Source organism: Homo sapiens, chromosome 15 (genome assembly GCF_000001405.40).
Source record: "Homo sapiens chromosome 15, GRCh38.p14 Primary Assembly".
NCBI classification, from domain to species: domain Eukaryota; kingdom Metazoa; phylum Chordata; class Mammalia; order Primates; family Hominidae; genus Homo; species Homo sapiens.
In genome coordinates, this window is record NC_000015.10 from 67,426,684 (window position 1) to 67,449,360 (window position 22,677).

Sequence of the window (22,677 nt, forward strand, 5' to 3'; positions counted from 1 at the left end):
AAATCCCAGGCCAGATGTGGTGGCTCATGCCTGTAATCCCAGCACTTTGGGAGGCTGAGGCAGGAGAATTGCTTGAGCTCAGGAGTTCAATACCAGCCTGGGCAACATAGAAAGGTCCAGTCTCTACCAAAAAAATTTTTAAAATAAACAAAATTAGCCAAGCATAATGGCACTCATCTGTGATTCCAGCTATTTGAGAGGCTGAGGTAGGAGGATTGCTTGGGCCCGGGAGGTCAATGCTGCAATAAGCTGTGATTGTACCACTGTACTCCAGCCTGGGCAACAGAGACCCAGTATCCAAAAAAAAAAAAGAAGAAGAAAATCCCAGAAACAGGAGGATCAAGATAGTCTAGAGCAGGAGTTGGTAAACAATGGCCTACAGGCTAAATCTGACCCAGCATTCATTTTATGTAAATAAAGTTTTATTGGAACACTAAAAAATAAATAACTTCTCCAACAATGAGAAACTTGAGTCTTTATCCCTCAATATAGTTACTTCTTTGCTTAGTCAGTTTACTTATTTGTTTAATGTAACTAATCTCCCAACCACTCCTGCCATCTTCTTTGCCTACTCTATCTGTGCCCTACCCCTCCATGCCTCATGTGCTTGGATCCCAATCCTGTCATTTGTGTTTTATTTGTAATACTCTTCATCATACTAAAGTTTCATATAGTCAAATCCAGCTGTTTTTCTTTTTTCTTTTCTTTTTTTTGTAGAGATAGGGTCTCACTATGTTGCCCAGGCTGGTTTTGAACTCCTGGCCTTGAGCCATCCTCCTGCCTTGGCCTCCCAAAGTGCTTGGATTACAGGTGTGAACCACTGTGCCTGGCCTCCAGCTCTTCTTCTAAATTGCTATATTACCTTGAACTTATCACTTTCCCTCATTTTCAGTTTTCTCAGCTATAAAATGAGGAGGTTAGCTTATTTTGCATCTGAGGTAACCTACAGTTCAAAACAGTCTTTATTTCAATAACATTTTAAAGCACTTATTTTCTGTATCAGCAAATTCAAATGTTAATAATAATCATCCACTTTAAAAAAATTATCACCAGGAAATAATCACAAAGATTTAAATACACATATATTAATCACATCATTATTAAGAATAGCAAAATATTTCAAGTAGTCTAAATTCCAATAATAGATTTTTTTTTTTTTTTTTGAAGCAGAATCTCCCTGTGTTGCCCAGGCTGGAGTGCAGTGGCATGATCTTGCTTCACTGTAATCTTTGCCTCCCAGGCTCAAGTGATTCTTGTGCCTTAGCCTCCTGAGTAGCTGGGATTACAGGCACACACCACACCTGACTAACTTTTGTATTTTTAGTAGAGACGGGGTTTCGCCATGTTGGCCAGGCTGGTCTTGAACTCCTGGCCTCAAGTGATCCACCTGCCTTGGCCTCCCAAAGTGCTGGGATTACAGGCGTGAGCCACTGCACCTGATCTCCAACTATAGAGAATATTTAGAGCAAATTATGATAGTTCAATGAAATTGCATACTATGAAGACATTAAAACTAATGTTTTTAAAGAATATTTAACAGGAAACTTTATAGAATAGATAAAGGTAAAAAGCAGATCACAAGCAATATATGCAATATGATAATTTTATAAAAAGAAAAAAATATATAAATGCAGAGTTAAAAGAACCTAAAGATATATACTAAGATGTTACAAGTCATTATTTCTGGACAGCAAGATTGAAGGTGGCAGAGTAATGGTCCGCTAAAGATATCCACACCCTAATTCCCCAAATCTGTGAACATTATGTTGCATGGCAAAAGGACTTTGCATATGTGATTAAGTTAAGGATCTTGAGTTGGGAAGAGTAGCTTGCATTATCCAGGTGGCCCCAATATAATCACCAGGGTCCTTTTAAAAGAGAGGCAGGCCGGGTGCGGTGACTCACACCTGTAATCCCAACACTTTGGGAGACCGAGGCGGGTGGATCACGAGGTCAGGAGTTTGAGACAAGCCTGACCAATATGGTGAAACCCCATCTCTACTAAAAATACAAAAATTAGCTGGGCATGGTGGCACGTGCCTGTAATCCCAGCTACTCAGGAGGCTGAGGCAGGAGAATCGCTTGAACCCGGGTGGTGGAGGTTGCAGTGAACTGAGACCATGCCACTGCACTCCAGCCTGGTGACAGAGTGAGACTCTGTCTCAAAAAAAAAAAAAAAAGAGAGAGAGAGAGGCAGGGGGATCATAGAAAGAGAAGGATTTGAAGATGCTGTGCTGCTGGCCTTGAACAAGGAGGAAGGGACCATGAGCCAATGGCATGAGCCAATGAAGGCACATGGCCTCTAGAAGCCAGAAAAGGCAAGGAAACAGATTCTCCTCTAGAGTCTCCAGGAGGAACAAAGCCCTGCCCACATCTTAATTTTTAGCCCAGTAAGACTTCTGACCCACAGAGCTGAAAAATAATAAATCTGTGTTGTTTTAAGCCAGGAAGTTTGTGGCAATTTGTTGCAGCAGCAATAGGATACTAATATAGAGGGTGGTTGCTATTTTGTTCTTTGTGTTTTCTGCAAAAGTAAACATGTATTATAGTCTAGGCTCAGTGGCTCATGTGTATAAACCCAGCACTTTGGAAAGCTGAGATGGGAGGATCACTTGAGTTCAGGAGTTTGAGATCAGCATAGGCAACATAGCAAAACCCTTGTCTCTACAAAAAATTTTTTAAAAATTAGCTGGACATGATGATGTGCACCTATAGTCCCAGCTACTCAGGAGACTGAGGTAGGAGGATAATTTGAGCCTGGAAGATTGAGGCTGCAGTGAGCCATGATCGTGCCACTGCACTCCAGCTTGAGCAACAGAACGAGACCCTGTCTCAAAAAAATAAAAAGCAAACATGTATTATATTTCTAATCAGAAAAAAATACATGAATAACGATAACAAAAATTTGTATAGAATGTTATTGTTTGCAAAGCACTTTCACATACATGATCTTACTCACATACACACAGGTCTTACAATAAGACATGGGAAACAGAAAACTGAGGTGACTGCATCCATTTCAAATTCATGCCCATTGGCCCCAGCTGGGCCCCATAATTTACCATGCTGACGCAGGAGGGGCAAAGGGGACTGGGGGCCAAGGCAAAATAGATAAAATGACAGCAATGCCTCAAGGACAGTCCCACAATTGTGAATCAACTCCAGAAAAGAAAGTGGAGAATTCTTTCTAGACCTAAGGAGATGAGAATGAGGTTCTAGCAGAATAGAAGAAGTTGTGGAAATGTAAGACTTAAATATTGGAAGCATCAAGTAGAACACACGGTCATTTTGTAATCAAGGAAGAAGGGGCTGGTCCCTGGGAAATGGAGATGGTGGAGCATGGTCTAAGATTACTCCTGCCAGTGGATTTAGGTCCAGGATTTTGGTACCCTAGAAATGGGGAAATTCTAGGCCTTCAGAGATGGCACGCAGAGTACATGGCACTCCAGAATACACAGAGCTACAAGGCAGCCATGTTGGAGATCTGGCCTTCCCACATAAGGATAATATTATGTAAGGGGATCCAAGCAGTAAACAAATAGCAGCAAAAGCTATTTCCAAATCCTGATGGGTCCTGGAGCCAGGATCAATGATAAACAGTATCTAGTAGGTTCTAGGAGGGATATGAAGTACTTACTAAAGGCTTTAAGTTGAGGAGGATGACAAGTTCATTGAACAAACACCTTCAGAGGACCTACTCTGGCTTCCTGTTAGGTGCTGTGGAAATAAACAAGACATCTTCTGTATCATGACAAAGCTTATTTCATATCCATCGTCCCATTTTATTTGCTATACATGCACACAATTGTTTTATACTTGTATTGATTCATAGGTATAAATATTGCCTCCATGAGATTTTTTTAATCCTTTAGAAAATGTACTAGGCCTTGAATTTTTTTTACCTCTTCATAATGTCTAACACAATGATGGTCATATTTGGCCAGCCACCTGATTATTATTTGTTGATTTATGGACTTTTGGAACTTCTAGATGATCCAGATCTTTTGTAGTTAATTACTCACTTTGGGGAAACTCTAAAAAAAACAAGTGTTTATTGAGCATCTATTATGTATAAGCCATAATGCTAGGTGCTAGAGAAGCTACAAAGATGCAAAAGACATGGAAGTGCCTGCCCTTAGGGAGTTCACATTCTAGTTGGGAAGATAGGCTTGAAAAATGAGTAGCAAGGAAAGGCTTAAGTGACAACTACGTAGAACAATAAAAGAGACATCAAAAAGGTAATATCAGTTTAACGGCCAAATGATTTTTCTACATGCATTCAGACAAGAGAAAGATCCCTTCTGTTGGGAGCAATCAAGAAAGGTTTTGCAGAGAAGGTGGGATTTGAGCCGAAAGAAAATTAGGATATGAGGAGGGTAAGAAAGAGTGTATTCCAAGTGAGAAACAGGCTCACTTGGTGGGAAAGAGTGGTGGGAAAAAGCACAGAACACATATGGATAAAAATGATGATCTAAGTCTTACAAATATCATGTTGGATTCACCTCAAGTAAATATACATTTATATAGCAATTCTCCCATTCCTGTTCCTCATATAAAAGTCTCTAAACAAATAGATTGGCAAAGATGCTCTATATGAAAATTCCCAAATTAAAAAATTCTTTCAGAACAAGATCATGTCCTGCATTTGCAGGGACATGGATGTAGCTGGAGGTCATTATCCTTAGTAAACTAACACAGGAACAGAAAACCAAATACTGCATGTTCCCACTTATAAGTGGGAGCTAAATGATGAGAATACAGGGACACATAGAGGGGAACACCACGCACTGAGGCCTATCAAAGGGTGGAGGGTGGGAGGAGGGAGAGAATCAGGAAAAATAACTCCTGGGTACTAGGCTTAATACCTGGGTGATGAAATAATGTGTACAACAAACCCCCATGGCACAAGTTTACCTGTGTAGCAAACCTGCACACGTACCCCGAACTTAAAAGTTAAAAAAAAACACACATTGTTCTTTATATTTCACAGGAAATTGAATAGATATAAGGTTCATTAATTATCATAGAATTTAGTTGAACATTTCCTACCAATATCAATAGTTTTTTAGATTGTAGCCTCTTGTTTCTTGAGGAGCATGGTGATCTGGCTTTTACCAAATAAAAGCTTCAGGTGATGGAAAAAGGAAAAAAAGTTCTTTTAGCCTGGGCATCAAGACTCATCTCTAAAATTAAAAATAAAAAATTAGTTGGGCATGGTGGCACACATCTGTAATCCTACCTACATGGGAGGCTGAGGCAGGAGGATCACTTAAGCCCAGGAGTTGGAGGCTGGCTGCAATAAGCTAGGATCTCGCCACTGCACTCCAGCCTGGATGACAGAGCAAGACCCTGTCTCAAAAATAAATAAATAAATTAACTCTTATTTTAGATAATTGTGAACTTTGAAACAACAATCTGTATTATAAGCATTGATAGTTAATACTTTTTTTGAAAAAGGAAATTAAAGAAAATCCAAGCTTTAAGAAGAATTGATATGAAAACTAGCTATTGGAGAGTAGTAATGGCCCTTCCAAAACATAAAGTTAGCTACAGAAAGGAAATAAGACTTGTCACAAAGTACAGATTGTGAGGAAAGATGAAAATGGAGGCCCTGATATATACCGCAGTATATCCCATAAAGTCTGAAAACGATTTTTAAGAGTTTCTAAATACAGAATATCAGCCTAGAATAAAAAAAAATCTGAAAATATTTTCATTGCAATGGCAATGGGTTCTGGCCCCAGTCTTTCCACTAACTAGTGTGATACTGTAGACAATTCACTTGACCAATCTGAGCCTTGTTTTTTTGTTATCAACTGGTAAATTCCTGCCCTCTTCCTCACAGTATGTTCTGAGAGGCTAAGCAGATATAAGGTGATGTTCTTATTAAATCAAATGGCATAACCACATGTAAAACTGTCACAGGAGCCCTCAGCAGGTGCTCAAACTGTGAGTTGAATCAGAATTGAATTAGCATTATTTTTAAAAGTCACTGAGCATTATCATCATCTCAAAGTGATATATAAGCATCAAAAATGAATACATTTATTTCAGAGAATGGAAAAACCAAAGTCTACAGAAATATCATAATTCCTTCTTGTTCACTGCTGTATACCCAGCACCTAGCACCCTGTCTAGCATATAATAGATGTTCAATAAATATTTATTTAATGAATGAATGAATACTTCTCTAAATCCCCCTCTAGTACTCTCATTTGCAAGATCTCCCCTATCTCTGTTTTCAAGATATACAAGGTATTCACCAAGGAAGCTCAATGAGATTTACTTTTTCTCTTTAGGGAAAGTATTTTATTTATATGGAAGAAGGCTAACAGAGTATATCTAAATTAAAATGTAATACGCCTTTGGTATTAACAGAAGTACCTATTATTCAGTGTTTTAAAGTGCTATAGTGGGCAGATTGTTAATCACAAGTTAATGCCTAGTGAAGGGAAAATACATCCCAAAGGACTTGGAAGCATTAAAGTAAAAGACCTTCTCCCTTTAAAAGGGCTGTATCTTTGTGTCAATGAAAGAGACCTATAATATGCAAGTAATAGTAATGATGATGGCAATGATGATGACTTCTACAATAAGCACATGGGCAATGATGACAAATTTTTCCAGTGAAAATTACAATTCTGTTTCTTAACACTGATAGTGCAGGTAAACTAGTGGCCAACTTTGCTATGTATATATTACCATTTGTGACTGTCCTTAAATGTTTGGTTAACCCCCCTTACACTGTAAACCTTCACACTGAGAAATATTGAACCCAAGCCTAAATATCAGCTCTTGGGTAGGATTTTGGTTGATCTGCATATAACGGACCTAATTCCTCTGTTTACATCAGCTGTTCCCCCAGGACTTCCTCAAAAGATGCCCATTCTCATCATGGAGCTCTTTGCTTCCTTTCAAATGAAACCAAGACACCTCTCTGCACTTAGGGATCTTTAACTTGAATCACCAGAAACATGGCCAGGGCGAGGAAAATCTGGACACTCACACTGCACCCTGCTGTCTCCAGCAGGTACTACATTTCTGCAGGACTCAGGAGGGCAGGAGGTAGGAAAAAAGGAAAAGGCTCCCTACTAATGCCAAGAAAGACCATAAGATTCTTCACCTATGAGCATTTATAGCTTGCCCCAGCATCCCAAAACAAAGCTGAAAGTTGTTTCTAGTTCCAGCTGTCACCTGTGGTCAAGACTTTTTATGTGATAAATTTTCTCTTACAAAATTGTCCTTCTCCGATCCCAGCTTTATTGAGGTATAACTAACCCAAAAAAAGTATTTTTATTTAAGGTGTACAACATGATATTTCAATATAATATACCTTGTGAAATGATTACCACAATCAAGCTAATTAACATATCCATCATCTCACTTGGATGTGTGTGTGTGTGTGGTCAGAAGTTAAGATCTACTCTCTTAGCAAATTTCAGGTATATAATATGTGGTTATTAACTATAGTCACCATGCTATACGTTAGGTCTCCAGAATTCATTCATCTTATAACTGAAGGTTTGTACACTTTAACCAGCATCTCCCCATTTCCCCCACCTTCCGACCCCTGGTAATCACTCATCTACTTTCTGTTGCTATAAGTTTGACTTTTTTGGATTCCACATGTAAGTGAGATCATGCAGTATTTGTCTTTCTGTGTCTGGCTTATTTCACTTAGCATATTATCCTCCAGGTTCATTCATATTGTCATGAATGACAGAATTTCCTTCTTTTTTAAGGCTAAATAATATTCCAATGTGTATATACATGCATACATATATACACACACACCACAATTTCTTCATCCTTTCATCTGTCATCAACTGACACTTAGGTTGTTTCCACGTCTTGGCTATTATGAATAATGCTGCAATGGACACGGCAGTGCAGATATCTCTTCAAGATTTTATTTTCTTTGGCTACGCACTCAGAAGTGGGATTGGTGGATCATATGGTAGTTCTGTGTTTAAGTTTTTGAGGAACCTCCATACAGTTTTCCACAGTGGCTGTACTAATTTACATTCCCACTAACAGTGTATAAGGGTTCCCTTTCTCCACATTCTCACCAATACTTATCTTTTGTCTTTTCTTTTCTTTTCTTTTTTTTTTTTTTTTGAGACGGAGTCTGACTCTGTTGCCCAGGCCAGAGTGCAGTGGCGTGGCTCACTGCAACCTCTGCCTCTAGGGTTTAGCGATTCTCCTGCCTCACCTACTGAGTAGCTGGGACTACAAGCGCGTCACCACGCCTGTATTTTTGTATTTTTTTTTAATTTTTTTGTATTTTTGTATTTTGTATCTTTGTTTTTTTTTTAATTTTTTTTAATTTTTTTAAGCTAATTTTTGTATTTTTAGTAGAGATGGGGTTTCACCATGTTAGCCAGGGTGGTCTCGAACTCCTGACCTCGTGATCCACCCGCCTCTGCCTCCCAAAGTGCTGGCATTACAGATGTGAGCCACTGCACCCAGCCTTCTTTTGTCTTTTTGATAATAGCCATCTGAAGAGGTGTGAAGTGATATCTCACTGTGGGTTTGATTTGCATTTCCCTGATAATCAGTGATGCTGAGCACCTTTTATATACCTGTTGGCCATTCGTATGTCTTTAAAAAAAAGTCTATATGTAGGCAGGGTGTGTAATGCCTGTAATCTTAGCACCTCAGGAGGCTGAGGTGGGCAGATCACTTTAGGCCAGGAGTTTGAGACCAGCCTGGCCAACACGGTGAAACCCTGTCTCTATTAAAAATAGAAAAATTGTCGGGTGTGGTGGTTCAAACCTGTAATCCCAGCTACTGGGGAGGCTAAGGCACGAGAATTGCTTGAACCAGGGAGGCAGAGGTTGCAGTGAGCCAAGACTGCACCACTGCACTCCAGCCTTAGTGAGATTCTGTCTCAAAAAAATAAAAGTTGGCTGGGTGTGGTGGCTCACACCTGTAATCCCAGCACTTTGGGAGGCTGAGGCAGGTGGATCACTTGAGGTCAGGAGTTCGGGATCAGCCTGGCCAACATGGTGAAACCCCATCTCTACTAAAAATATAAAAATTAGCCAGGCATAGTGGTGCACGCCTGTAATCCCAGCTACTTGGAGGCTGAGGCACGAGAATCTCTTGAACCCAGGAGGCAGAGGTTGTAGTGAGCCAAGATGGCATCACTGCACTCAACCTGGGTGACAGAGCAAGACCCTGTCTAAAAAAAAAAAAAAGTCTATTCAGATCCTTTGCCCATGTTTTAATCAGGTTATCTGGGGGTCTTTGCTATTGAGTTGTAAGAGTTCTGCAAAATTATCCTTAATATTCAGTTTAACTTAATTTTACCTGTAATGTAAATGTTGCGGTGGAAAAGTACATTTGCTTTAGGCTTTACCTATTTCTTAAGACAATACTCAATCACCCCCTCCCAGCATATGGCACCACTGGTTGCTTCTCTCATTGATCATGTCCACAAGACTCTCCAGAACACACAAGCTTGATGGCTCCATATTCAATAAATGTATTATCGAGACCCACTGAAGGAAGCCGACTGCTCCTGCAGGACCCAGGAGACACCCCAAATACTGTGAGTGCCCCAACTGCGGAAGTAGGAAAGGGAGACCCTCCTCTCTCAAACACACACCCCCGCACTGGAGAAGCTGAAGGTCTGTTTGCTGGAGAAGTTTCTCACTTTACCCGGAGCTGAGTCAATTTAGAGAGCCAAGGGAAATACAGGGGTAGAGGAAGAAGCAGAAAGGCCCTAGGAGCTCACTGCATCCCCTAGCAGCCCATTTCTGCCTGGCACCACAGGGATCCATCAGGACGGTGGCCAGAGAAGCAGGCGGTAAATCTCCACAGGGAGAAGGAATTCTCTAGCTAAAGTTTGTAACAACTTGAACAGGGTGAGAAGCCTCCTGGCGAGAACTCAGGGGAGGGCACAAATCCGGTGTGCAGACTCCATAGGCAGGGGAAGAACCAAGCCCTTTTCTTTCTAGCCTGCAACAAGTTTTCAAGCCCGTCTTGCCCTCTGCCTGGAAAGAGACTCGGGGCTGTTGTGGAGAGGCATGGTGGGAGTGAGACCGGCCCTTTGGTTTGCATGGGAGCTGGGTGAGGCCTGTGACTGCTGGCTTTCCCCCACTTCCCTGACAACCTGCATGACTCAGCAGAGGCAGCCATAATCCTCCTAGGTACACAACTCCAGTGACCTGGGAACCTCACCCTCATCCCCCACAACAGCTGCAGCAAGATCTGCCCAAGGGGAGTCTGAGCTCAGACACGCGTAGCCCCACCCCCACCTGATGGTCCTTCCCTATCCACCCTGGTAGCAGAAGACAAAGGGCATATAATCTTGGGAGTTCTAGGGCCCCACCCACTGCCAGTCCCTCTCCACACTACTATAGCTGATGCTTTCTGGAAAGCGCCACGTCCTGGCAGGCGGCCAACCAGCACAAAAATAGAGCATTAAACTACCAAAGCTAAGAACCCTTATGGAATCCATTGCATCCCCCGCCACCTCCATCAGAACAGGCACTGGTATCCACTGCTGAGAAACCCATATAATATATGGTTCACATCACAGGACTCTATGCAGACAACACTCAGTGCCAATCCAGAGCCAGGTAGACTTGATGGGTGGCTAGACCCAGAAGAGAGACAACAATCACTGCATTTCAGCTCACAGGAAGCTGCATCCATAGGAAAAGGGGGAGAGTACTACATCAAGGGAACAACCCGTGGGACAAAAGAATCTGAACAACAGGCTGCAGCCCTAGACCTTCCCTCTGACAGAGCCTACCCAAATGAGAAGGAACCAGAAAACCAACCCTGGTAATATGACAAAACAAGGCTCTTCAACACCCCTAAAAAATCACACTAGTTCACCAGCAATGGATCTAAACCAAGAAATCCCTGATTTACATGAAAAAGAATTCAGGAGGTTATTAAGCTAATCAGGGAGAGACCAGAGAAAGGTGAAGCCCAATGCAAGGAAATCCAAAAAATGATACAAGAAATGAAGGGATACATATTCAAGGAAATAGCTTAAAGAAAAAACAATCAAGAATACAGGAAACATTGGACACACTTTTAGAAATGCAAAATGCTCTGGAAAGTCTCAGCAATAGAATTGAACAAGTAGAAGAAAGAAATTCAGAGCTTGAAGACAGGTCTTCGAATTAATGCAATCTGACAAAGACAAAGAAAAAAGAATAAGAAAATATGAACAAAGCCTCCAAGAAGTCTGGGATTATGTTAAATGACCAAACCGGAGAATAATCAGTGTTACTGAGGAAGAAGAGAATTCTAAAAGCTTGGAAAACATATTTGGGGGAATAATCGAGGAAAACTTCCCCGGCCTTGTGAGAGACCTAGACATTCAAATACAAGAAGCACAAAGAACAACTGGAAATTTTATTGCAAAAAGATCTTTACCTAGGCACATTGTCATCAGGTTATCCAAATTTAAGACGAAGGAAAGAATCTTTAAGAGCTGTGAGAGAGAAGCACCAGGTAACCTATAAAGGAAAACCTATCAGGTTAACAGCAGATTTCTCAGCAGAAACCCTACAAGCTAGAAGGGATTGGGGACCTATCTTCAGCCTCCTCAAACAAAACAATTATCAGCCAAGAATTTTGTATCCAGTGAAACTAAGCATCATATATGAAGGAAAGATACAGTCATTTTCAGACAAACAAATGCTGAGAGAATTCGCCATTACCACGCCACCACTACAAGAACTGCTAAAAGGAGCTCTAAATCTTGAATCAAATCCTGGAAAAACATCAAAACAGAACCTCTTTAAAGCATAAATCACACAGGACCTATAAAACAAAAATACAAGTTAAAAAGCAAAAACAAAATCAAAGTACACAGGCAACGAAGAGCAGGATGAATGAAACAGTACCTCATATTTCAATACTAACATTGAATGTAAATAGCCTAAATGCTCCACTTAAAAGATACAGAACTGTAGAATGGATAAGAACTCACCAACCAACTATCTGCTCCTTCAGGAGACTCATCTAACACATAAGGACTCACATAAACTTAAAGGGGTGAAAAAAGGCATTTCATGCAACCGGACACCAAAAGCGAGCAGGGGTAGCTATTCTTATATCACACAAAACAAACTTTAAAGCAACAGCAGTTAAGAGACAAAGAGGGATGTTATATAATGGTAAAGGACCTTGTCCAACAGGAAAATATCACAATCCTAAACATATATGCATGTAACACTGGAGCTCCCAAATTTCTAAAACAATTACTAATAGACCAAAGAAATAAGATAGACAGCAAAGCAATAATAGTTGGGGACTTCAATACTCCACTGACACCACTGGACAGGTCATCAAGACAGAAAGTCAACAAATAAATAATGGATTTAAACTATACCTTGGAACAAATGGACTTAACAGATATATACAGAACATTTCATCCAACAACTGCAGAATACACATTCTATTCAACAGCGCATGGAACTTTCTCCAAGATAGACCTTATGATAGGCCATAAAACGAGCCTCAATCAGTTTAAGAAAATTGAAATTATATCAAGCACTCTCTCAGACCACAGTACAATAAAACTGGAAATCAACTTGAAAAGGAATCTGCAAAACCATGCAAATACATGGAAATTAAATAACCTGCTCCTGAATGAGCACTGGGTCAAAACAAAATCAAGATGGAAATCAAACAATTATTTGAACTGAATGACAATAATGACACAACCTGTCAAAACCTCTGGGATACAGCAAAGGCAGTGCTAAGAGGAAAATTTATAGCCGTAAATGCCTACCTTAACAAGACTGCAAGAGCACAAACTGACATTCTAAGGTCACACCTCAAGGAGCTAGAGACACAAGAAAGGAAATTACCCAGCAGAAGAAAGGAAATTACCAAGATCAGAGCAGAACTACATGAAATTTGAAACAAACAAACAAAAAATACAAACAATAGGCCAGGCGCAGTGGCTCATGCCTGTAATCCCAGCACTTTGGAAGGCCGAGGTGGGCGGATCACCTGAGGTCAAGAGTTTGAGACCAGCGTGACCAACATGGAGAAACCCCATCTCTACTAAAAATACAAAAAAAATAGCTGGGCGTGATGATGCATGCCTGTAGTCCCAGCTACTTGGGAGGCTGAGGCAGGAGAATCACTTGAACCCGGGAGGCAGAGGTTGTGGTGAGCCGAGATCACGCCATTGCACTCCATCCTGGGCAACAAGAGCAAAACTCCGTCTCAAAAAAAAAAAAAAAAAATACAAACGATAAATGAAACTAAAACTGGTTCTTTGAAAAGATAAATAAAATTGATAGACCATTAGCAAGATTAACCAAGAAAAGAAAAGAGAAAATCCAAATAACCTCACTAAGAAACGAAACAGGAGATATTACAACTGACACCGCAGAAAGACAAAAGATCATTGAAGGCTACTATGACCACCTTTACACACATAAACTAGAAAACCTAGAAGAAATGGATAAATTCCTGGAAAAATACAACCCTCCTAGCTTAAATCAGGAAGAATTAGATACCCTGAACAGAACTATAACAAGCAAAGAGATTGAAGTGGTAATTTAAAAGTTACCAACCAAAAAAGTCCAAGACCAGACGTATTCACAGCAGAGTTGTACCAGACATTCAGAGAAGAATTGGTACCAATCCTTTTGACACTATTCCACAAGATAGAGAAAGAAGAAACCTTCCCTAATTCATTTTATGAAGTCAGCATCGCCCTAATACCAAAACCAGGAAAGGACACAACCAAAAAAGAAAACTACAAACCAATATCCTTGATGAACATTGATGCTAAAATCTTTAACAAAATACTAGCTAACCAGATCCAACAACATATCAAAAAGATAATCCACCATGATCATGTGGGTTTTATACCAGGGATGCAGGGATGGTTTAACATACGCAAGTCAATAAATGTGATACACTACATAAACAATTAAAAACAAAAGTCACATGATCATCTCAATAGATGCAGAAAAAGCATTCGACAAAATCCAGCATTCCTTTATGATTAAAACTGTCAGCAAAATCGGCATACAAGGGACATAACTTAATGTAGTACAAGCCATCTATGACAAACCCACAGCCAACATAATACTGAATGGGGAAAAGTTGAAAGCATTCCCTCTGAGGACTGGAACAAGACAAAGATGCCCACTCTCACCACTCCTCTTTAACAGTACTGGAAGTCCTAGCCAGAGCAATCAGACAAGAGAAAGAAATAAAGGGCATCCAAATCGGTAAAGAGGAAGTCAAACTGTCACTGTTTGCTGACGATATAATCATTTACCTTGAAAACCCTAAGGACTCCTCCAGAAAGCTCCTAGAACTGATAAAAGAATTCAGCAAAGTTTCCAGATACAAGATTAATGTACACAAATCAGTAGCTCTTCTATATACCAACAGCGACCAAGTGGAGAATCAAATCAAGAACTCAACTCCTTTTGCAATAGCTGCAAAAAAAAAAAAAAAAAAAAAAAAAAAAAAAGAGTACTTAGGAATATACCTAACCAAGGAGTCAAAAGACCTCTGCAAGGAAAACTACAAAATACTGCTGAAAGAAATCACAGACGACACAAACAAATGGAAACACATCCCATACTCATGGATGGGTAGAATCAATATTGTGAAAATGACCATACTGCCAAAAGCAATCTACAAATTCAATGCAATCCCCATCAAAATACCACCATCCTTCATCACAGAATTAGAAAAAACAATTCTAAAATTCATATGGAACCAAAAAAGAGCCCAGATGGCCAAAGCAAGGCTAAGCAAAAAGAACAAATCTGGAGGCATCACACTACCTGATTTCAAACTATACTGTAAGTCCATAGTCACCAAAACAGCATGGTACTGGTATAAAAATAGGCACATAGACCAATGGAACTAAATAGAGAACCCAGAAATAAACCCAAATACTTACAGCCAACTAATCTTTGACAAAGCAAACAAAAACATAAAGTTGGGAAATGACACCCTTTTCAACAAATGGTGCTGGGATAATTGACTAGCCACATTTAGGAGAGTGAAACTGGATTGTCATCTCTCACCTTATACAAAAATCAACTCAAGATAGATTAAGGACTTAAACCTTAGAACTAAAACTGTAAAAATTCTAGAAGATAACATTGGAAAACCCCTTCTAGACATTGGCTTAGGCAAGGAGTTCATGATCAAGAACCCAAAAGAAAATATAATAAAAACAAAGATAAATAGCTGGGACCTAATTAAATGAAAGGGCTTTTTTGCACAGCAACAGTCAGCAGAGTAAACAGACAACCCACAGAGTGGGAGAAAGTCTTTGCCATCTATACATCTGACAAAGGACTAATATCCAGAATCTACAACGAACTCAAACAAATTAGTAAGAAAAAAACAATCCCATCAAAAAATGGGCTACGGACATGAATAGACAGTTCTCAAAAGAAGATATACAAGTGGCCAATAAACATATGAAAAAGGCCAGGCATGGTGGCTCATGCCTGTAATCCCAGCACTTCGGGAGGCCAAGGTGGTCAGGTCACCTGAGGTCAGGAGTTGGAGACCAGCCTGACCGACATGGAGAAACCCCATGTCTACTAAATATACACAATTAGCCAGGCATGGTGGTGCGTGCCTGTAATCCCAGCTACTCGGGAGGCTGAGGCAGGAGAATCACTTGAATCCAGGAGGCGGAGGTTGTGGTGAGCCAAGATCACGCCATTGCACTCCAGCGTGGGCAACAGGAGCGAAACTCCATCTAAAAAAAAAAAAGAAAAAATGCTCAACATCACTAATGTTCAGGGAAATGCAAATCAAAACCACAATGCAATACCACCTTACTCCTGCAAGAATGGCCATAATCAAAAAATCAAAAAACAGTGGATGTTGGCTTGGATGCAGGTTACAGGGAACGCTTCTACACTGCTGGTGGGAATGTAAACTAGTACAGCCACTATGGAAGACAGTGTGGAGATTCCTTAAAGAACTAAAAGTAGAACTACCATTTGATCCAGCAGTCCCATTACTGGATATCTACCCAGAGGAAAAGAAGTCATTATTCAAAAGAGATACTTGCACATGCATATTTATAGCAGCACAATTCACAATTGCAAAATCATGGAACCAACCCAAATGCCCATCAATCAACAAGTGGATAAAGAAACTGTGAGATAGATAGATAGATAGATAGATAGATAGATAGATAGATAGATAGATATACATATATATATATATAAAATACATATAGATATACATACACACATATATATGATGGAATACTATGCAGCCATAAAAAGGAATGAATTAACAGCATTTGTAGTCACCTGGATGAGACTGGAGACTGTTATTCTTTTTTTTTTTTGAGATGGAGTCTTGCTGTTTCGCCCAGTCCAGAGTGCAGTGGTGCGATCTCGGCTCACTGCAAGCTCCGCCTCCCGGGTTCACACCATTTTCCTGCCTCAGCCTCCTGAGTAGCTGGGACTACAGGCGCCCGCCACAGCGCCCGGCTAATTTTTTGTATTTTTAGTAGAGACGGGGTTTCACCGTGTTAACCAGGATGGTCTCGATCTCCTGAACTCGTCATCCACCCGCCTCGGCCTCCCAAAGTGCTGGGATTACAGGCGTGAGCCACTGCGCCCAGCCTGGAGACTGTTATTCTAAGTGAAGTAACTCAGGAATGGAAAACCGGACATCGTATGTTCTCACTGATATGTGGGAGCTAAGCTATGAGGATTCAAAGGCATAAGAATGATACAATCGACTTTGGGGACTTGGGGGAAAGAGTGGGAGGGGGTGAGGGACAAAAGACCACAAATATGGTGGAGTGTATACTGCTTGGGTGATGGGTGCAGCAAATTTTCACAAATCACCACAAAAGAACTTACTCATGTAACCAAATACCACCTGTACCCCAGTAACTTATGGACTAAAATAAAATAAATAAATGCATTATCGTCCTACCTCCCACATATTACCTTCAGTCCTACAATTTGCTTTTCCTTTTTTCTCTGCTGATATACAACTTCGCTTCCTTTGAAACATATTTCAAAGTCCAGCTCATCATGGATTCCCCCTTAAAGTGCCACTTCATCCTCTAGCCCTAGCTCAGATCTGAAGTATAGCACTGATGGCCAGAGTAATTACGAATGATAATATTAACTACTTACTGTATTTGTATCATGTGCCAAGCACTCTGTTATGTATTTTACATGTAGTAACCCTAATCTTCACATCCTGAGAAGTATTATTATCCCTAATTTACAAATGAGGAAACTGAGGCTGGAGTGACATGTTCAAGGCCACATGAACAGCTATTATGTGGCAAATCCAGGGTTCAGACTGTGACTTATTTGGCTGCCAAGCCTGTGTTCTTTCTCTCACAACAAATACTGTGGCACTGCACTGGATTGATAGTGACTTGCTTTGTAAGTATCTCCCCCCACAACCACTATCACCAAAGAAAACGTATGTTTCTCTTATATGTCCTCAATATGCTTGTTGAATTGAGTTGAACAGCTTAAAGCCAGAAAACACATCTCCTATTTTTTTAATATATTCCATCCTTGTGCTCAGCACATAAGGTAATCATTAAATGTTAATGACTAAGTGAAATGGAATAAAATCAGTGTTGTGGTAGCCATTTTTAAACTTTAAGAGTTTAAATGTGCAGCCCATAGACAGCACCACAGCTGGGAGTGCCATATTGCCATTAAGCCAGAAGGTGGATTCACGGGATGGAAACATTGAAAACAGACACCACAAGAATGGTTAAGTCAGTTTTCCAAACCACTTTCTACAAGTAGCTACTCCTTTCTCCCCCATAATAATTTCACAATGATTAGCCTGCTAGGTGAGAAATACCAGGCAAAAACCTGCATCTCAGCAGAGTTTAGGGCAACCACTTAAGTATTGGGTCAAGGTGGGAGGTGATGGGGACAACAGGTAGAGTCATTCCCATCTAGCTGGTCAAAAGTGCAAGATAAATGCCATCTAGATATCTATTATGGGTTTTATCTTTCTAGATAAATGCCTTTATTCTTATAATTAGCTTGATAAAATGCCATCTCACATTCCAACACATATGGATATCAAAATGCATATTTGGGGAGGAATGGTGTCTTATGTTACCAATTTCTGCTTCCTTTGCTTTCTTTGCTCATAGCACAAAATTTCAAACTTTTTTGCCAAAACCTTACTATGTAGCTTTTTAACTTAATTAAATATATAGGCAATTACTGACACCATCTGTCTTCATAGAAAAAGAACAAGAAGTGACACAAAAGCCTGGGATTCTGAAGGGGATGTTTAGCAAACAAAATCTTCTAGTTCCACTATAGTAATATTTATTTTTAAGAGCCCTTCTGTCATTTTAAATTATTTATGTTTCTTAGAAATAATGAATTTGAATTATACTTGGAAAGTGGTGGCTTTGGTATGATTTTTTTTAAAGGAAATATCAGATAATCCATTGCTTTTTCAGTAAAACAAAAACTTAAACACGTCGTTGAACATCTGTTACTAGTACAGTCTAACACAGCACTTAAAATCCTTTAAAATCCCTGAAAACCTTTATCAAGTTACATGAATCTTTTGCATAAATGGAACTGTTTTAGCAATATGTATATTCCTTTAAACATATATTTTGCTTTCTTAAACATAAGATTCATTGTGTCCCCTATTGTTCTGAGCCCTTATAAATAAATAAATGAAATTGCTTCTTTTCTTAAAGACTTTATCTTCCCCTGTCATGTTACATTCCTATCCCACCCCAGAGTACCTACCTCATGTCTGGTTTTTTTGTTTGTTTTTGAGATGGAGTCTTGCTCTGTCGCCAGGCTGGATTGCAGTGGTGCAATCTCAGCTCACTGCAACCTCTGCCTCCTGGGTTCAAGCAATTCTTCTGCCTCAGCCTCCCAAGTAGCTGGGGTTGCAGGTGTGTGCCACCACACCAGGCTAATTTTTATATTTTTAGTAGAGACAGGGTTTCACCATGTTGGCCAGGCTGGTCTCGAACTCCTGACCTGGTGATCCATCTGCCGTGGCCTCCCAAAGTGCTGGGATAACAGGCGTGAGCCACCGCACCTGGCCTGTTTTTTAATCTTTGTAGATGTCTCCACAAATGTCTTAATATGTAAATGCTATTAAACCAACCCACTGGAGCTTGATCAGGTAGTCAGGAACCAATAGAAGTCCAAATAATGCAACAAAATTCACCTCCCATACAGAGGACACAGGTAGGAAATATAAAGAAGAACATGGAGTTTCCCTATCATTGGCAGTTACCACCAAGGAGGACAACTGTGTTCCCCTGCAGCTTTTCCCCAGAATTGGAGGGACCGTGTTTCAAATGCCACGTGGCAGCAACTAAGTTCCGAAGTCAAATAGAAGTGTGCAGGACACAAGGACATTTCTAAAGAGGCTCAATAGAAAGACATTTCTCAAAGAAATGGCACTGTGAAACTTCTATTCATATGAAAGACTTATGGCATACCAAAGAATATGTTATCCCAGATTTTGAGGGAAAGCACCAATGTATATATTTTATATTTTTTATTCACTTGTTAAAGAAAGAAATTTGAAGAAAGTAATTTCATGATGATTTTCTACAAATTGCCTCAAAGATCCTGTATTTAATGCTTAGCAGATAACAGGTAGAGCTAAAACTAAGAATTTACACTTATCTGCCATGACTCAATAGCATTCTAGTGTATTCTCCTGAGAGGAAGCTATACATTAAGAAATAGTGCATTGAATTTTAGAAGAGGTAAAGGAGAAAGAGGGGGAAAAGAGGAAGAGAGGAAGAAAATACCACCCTTAATGCCATTTCTTTCATTTGCTAGAAAATGAACCCAGGGACAAATGGCATCAAAGGGGGCCTGTTTGTTAAAAGCAGCCTCTGGGGTGGAGCTCAGCAGAGCAGAGGCCTACCATAGCAGCAGAGCCTGGACAGGTCAGCCGGGATGTAGAACATTTACTCAGGTGGAACTCCAGGGTGCCTTTCAGCCAGCAGCTACTCAATTGAAATTTTTCCCAGGGCCCTAAAGCTCCACCCACGTTTCTGGAAAGTGCCATAGGACTTTGATTGATCACAGGTGGGAACCTTGCCTTTTTGCCTATACTGAAGGACTGTATTTCTTTGTCCTTATACAGCTCCTATACATAGGCTCTCAAAGTGCTTTAGAGACAAATAATGGGAAAGGTGAGACAGAAAGGTGTTAAGTGACTTGCCCGAAGTCCCACGGTAAATCACAAGCCTTCCCTGGCTTCACAGCTCTCTGGCAATTGGGGGAGCTTCTTGCTGTGGCTGCCAGCATCACAGTGCCCTCTCACATTCTGCCAAGCATTTGTTTCCCTCGCCAGGCTGAGAGCAATCAACAGGGTCAAGCACAGTAGAGAAAACCTGGCCTTTTGGGTTAGGCAAACCTGGATCTTTGTCCTCGCCCTGCCGCTGAGCTGTGGAACTTGGCACGTTCTTGGGTTCTTTGAGCCTCAATTTTCCCTTCATAAAATGGGAGTATGAATACCAAACCCATAAAGTTGTTCGGAGGATGATATGAGCAAATACCACAGTGCCTTGCACTTAATAGGCCCTTAATCTACATCAGTGTCCCTTCCTCTTTCCTTTCCCAAGTCTCCCTCCTTGAGTCTGTCCTACATGGTAGCTGCAAGGCAGCTTTCTAAAGATTGCTGCCATCCAAAAGGATGTCCTATTAGCCTGACAGGGTGCTGAATCTTTCCTACAAACACGAGTCTGTAGGAAACAGTGGCAAAGTCATGGAATCCAGATTCATCTCTCAGATAACTGAATCCAAAAGGTTCCCTTATGATAAGCATGTAGTACCTGGGACTCAACCCTCTACCATCACCAAATTAGTCAGGATGTATTGGATTACTGGGTTAACTTGATGGGGTTGAGGGAGTGTCCCCGTGGAGGGCATAGAGCTTGCAGGGAGCCCCACACCACAGAAGGAGGCTAGAGTGCTTGGAGTCCCCTGGGGTGAGCAACTGGAGGACAGGAGAAGGTGGAAACATCTGGGACAAAGCTTTTCTGAGCCACCGGCCCACTACCTGAGCAGCCCCTTCTCTTCTGGGTTTGACCATGTCCAGTCCCTCTCAGTCCAGGAGCTGATACAAAGTAAAAGCCTGCTGTGGTGAGTCCAAGCAACAGCTTGCGTTTTAGAAAGTGGCACTGTCCTCAGAGCTGAGTCTTTATGCTGATGGAGCCAGATTTATGCTAATATATATTCTTTCTTCCAGATCATGACTGCTTATGGTGGCCCATATATTAACCCTCACTGGGCATTAATTTGCTTTCGTGTCTGTAGCAGGTATTTTCTACCCATACATGGCAAAGCTTTTTAAGGTTTAGACTAATACCTATAATAAACTCAGAAGGCGGTTTGGGAGGTGGCTTATCACAGGCTCCCACACTTAGTCATCATTCACACACTCAACTAGATTCAAACAAGTGACCATATACATTGTACAGGTATCCATCCTAAGTGACTCTGTGTGTGTGTGTGTGTGTGTGTAACAGCTTTAGTGAGATACCATATACCATAAAATTCACACTTTTTAAAATTTTATTATTATACTTTAAGTTTTAGGGTACATGTGCACAACATGCAGGTTTGTTACATATGTATACATGTGCCATGTTGGTGTGCTGCACCCATTAACTCATCATTTAGCATTAAGTATATCTCCTAATGCTATCCCTCCCCCCGCCCCCCACCCCACAATAGTCCCCGATGTGTAATGTTCCCCTTCCTGTGTCCATGTGTTCTCATTGTTCAATTCCCACCTATGAGTGAGAACATGCAGTGTTTGGTTTTTTGTCCTTGCGATAGTTTGATGAGAATGATGGTTTCCAGTTTCATCCATGTCCCTACAAAGGACATGAACTCATCATTTTTTATGGCTGCATAGTATTCCATGGTGTATATGTGCCACATTTTCTTAATCCAGTCTATCGTTGTTGGACATTTAGGTTGGTTCCAAGTCTTTGCTATTGTGAGTAGTGCCGCAATAAACATATGTGTGCATGTGTCTTTATAGCAGCATGATTTATAATCCTTTGGGTATGATATACCCAATAATGGGATGGCTGGGTCAAATGGTATTTCTAGTTGTAGATCCCTGAGGAATCGCCACACTGACTTCCACAATGGTTGAACTAGTTTACAGTCCCACCAACAGTGTAAAAGTGTTCCTATTTCTCCACATCCTCTCCAGCACCTGTTGTTTCCTGACTAATGATCGCCATTCTAACTGGTGTGAGATGGTATCTCATTGTGGTTTTCATTTGCATTTCTCTGATGGCCAGTGATGATGAGCATTTTTTCATGTGTGTTTTGGCTGCATAAATGTCTTCTTTTGAGAAGTGTCTGTTCATATCCTTCGCCCACTTTTTGATGGGGTTGTTTGTTTTTTTCTTGTAAATTTGTTTGAGTTCATTGTAGATTCTGGATATTAGCCCTTTGTCAGATGAGTAGGTTGCAAAAATTTTCTCCCATTCTGTAGGTTGCCTGTTCACTCTGATGGTAGTTTCTTTTGCTGTGCAGAAGCTCCTGAGTTTAATTAGATCCCATTTGTCAATTTTGGCTTTTGTTGCCATTGCTTTTGGGGTTTTAGACATGAGGTCCTTGCTCATGCCTATGTCCTGAATGGTATTGCCTAGGTTTTCTTCTAGGGTTTTTATGGTTTTAGGTC

General features: G+C 40.6%; 1 protein-coding gene and 1 long non-coding RNA gene across 12 annotated transcripts in view; one reads left to right on the forward strand and one right to left on the reverse strand.

The window, feature by feature from the left end:
• Window positions 1–22,677, forward strand: part of IQCH (IQ motif containing H) — a 247,019-nt gene that overhangs the window by 171,898 nt on the left and 52,444 nt on the right. The window lies entirely within an intron of this gene.
• IQCH-AS1 (IQCH antisense RNA 1) overlaps window positions 1–22,677 on the reverse strand; it is a 118,234-nt gene that overhangs the window by 23,073 nt on the left and 72,484 nt on the right. Inside the window, exon 4 of one of the 2 annotated variants that reach the window (NR_040052.1) lies at window positions 3,638–3,717. The exons of the other annotated variant lie outside the window; for it this stretch is intronic. This is a non-coding gene — a long non-coding RNA (IQCH antisense RNA 1). The remainder of the gene's footprint in view (window positions 1–3,637; window positions 3,718–22,677) is intronic. 2 annotated transcript variants of the gene reach the window in all.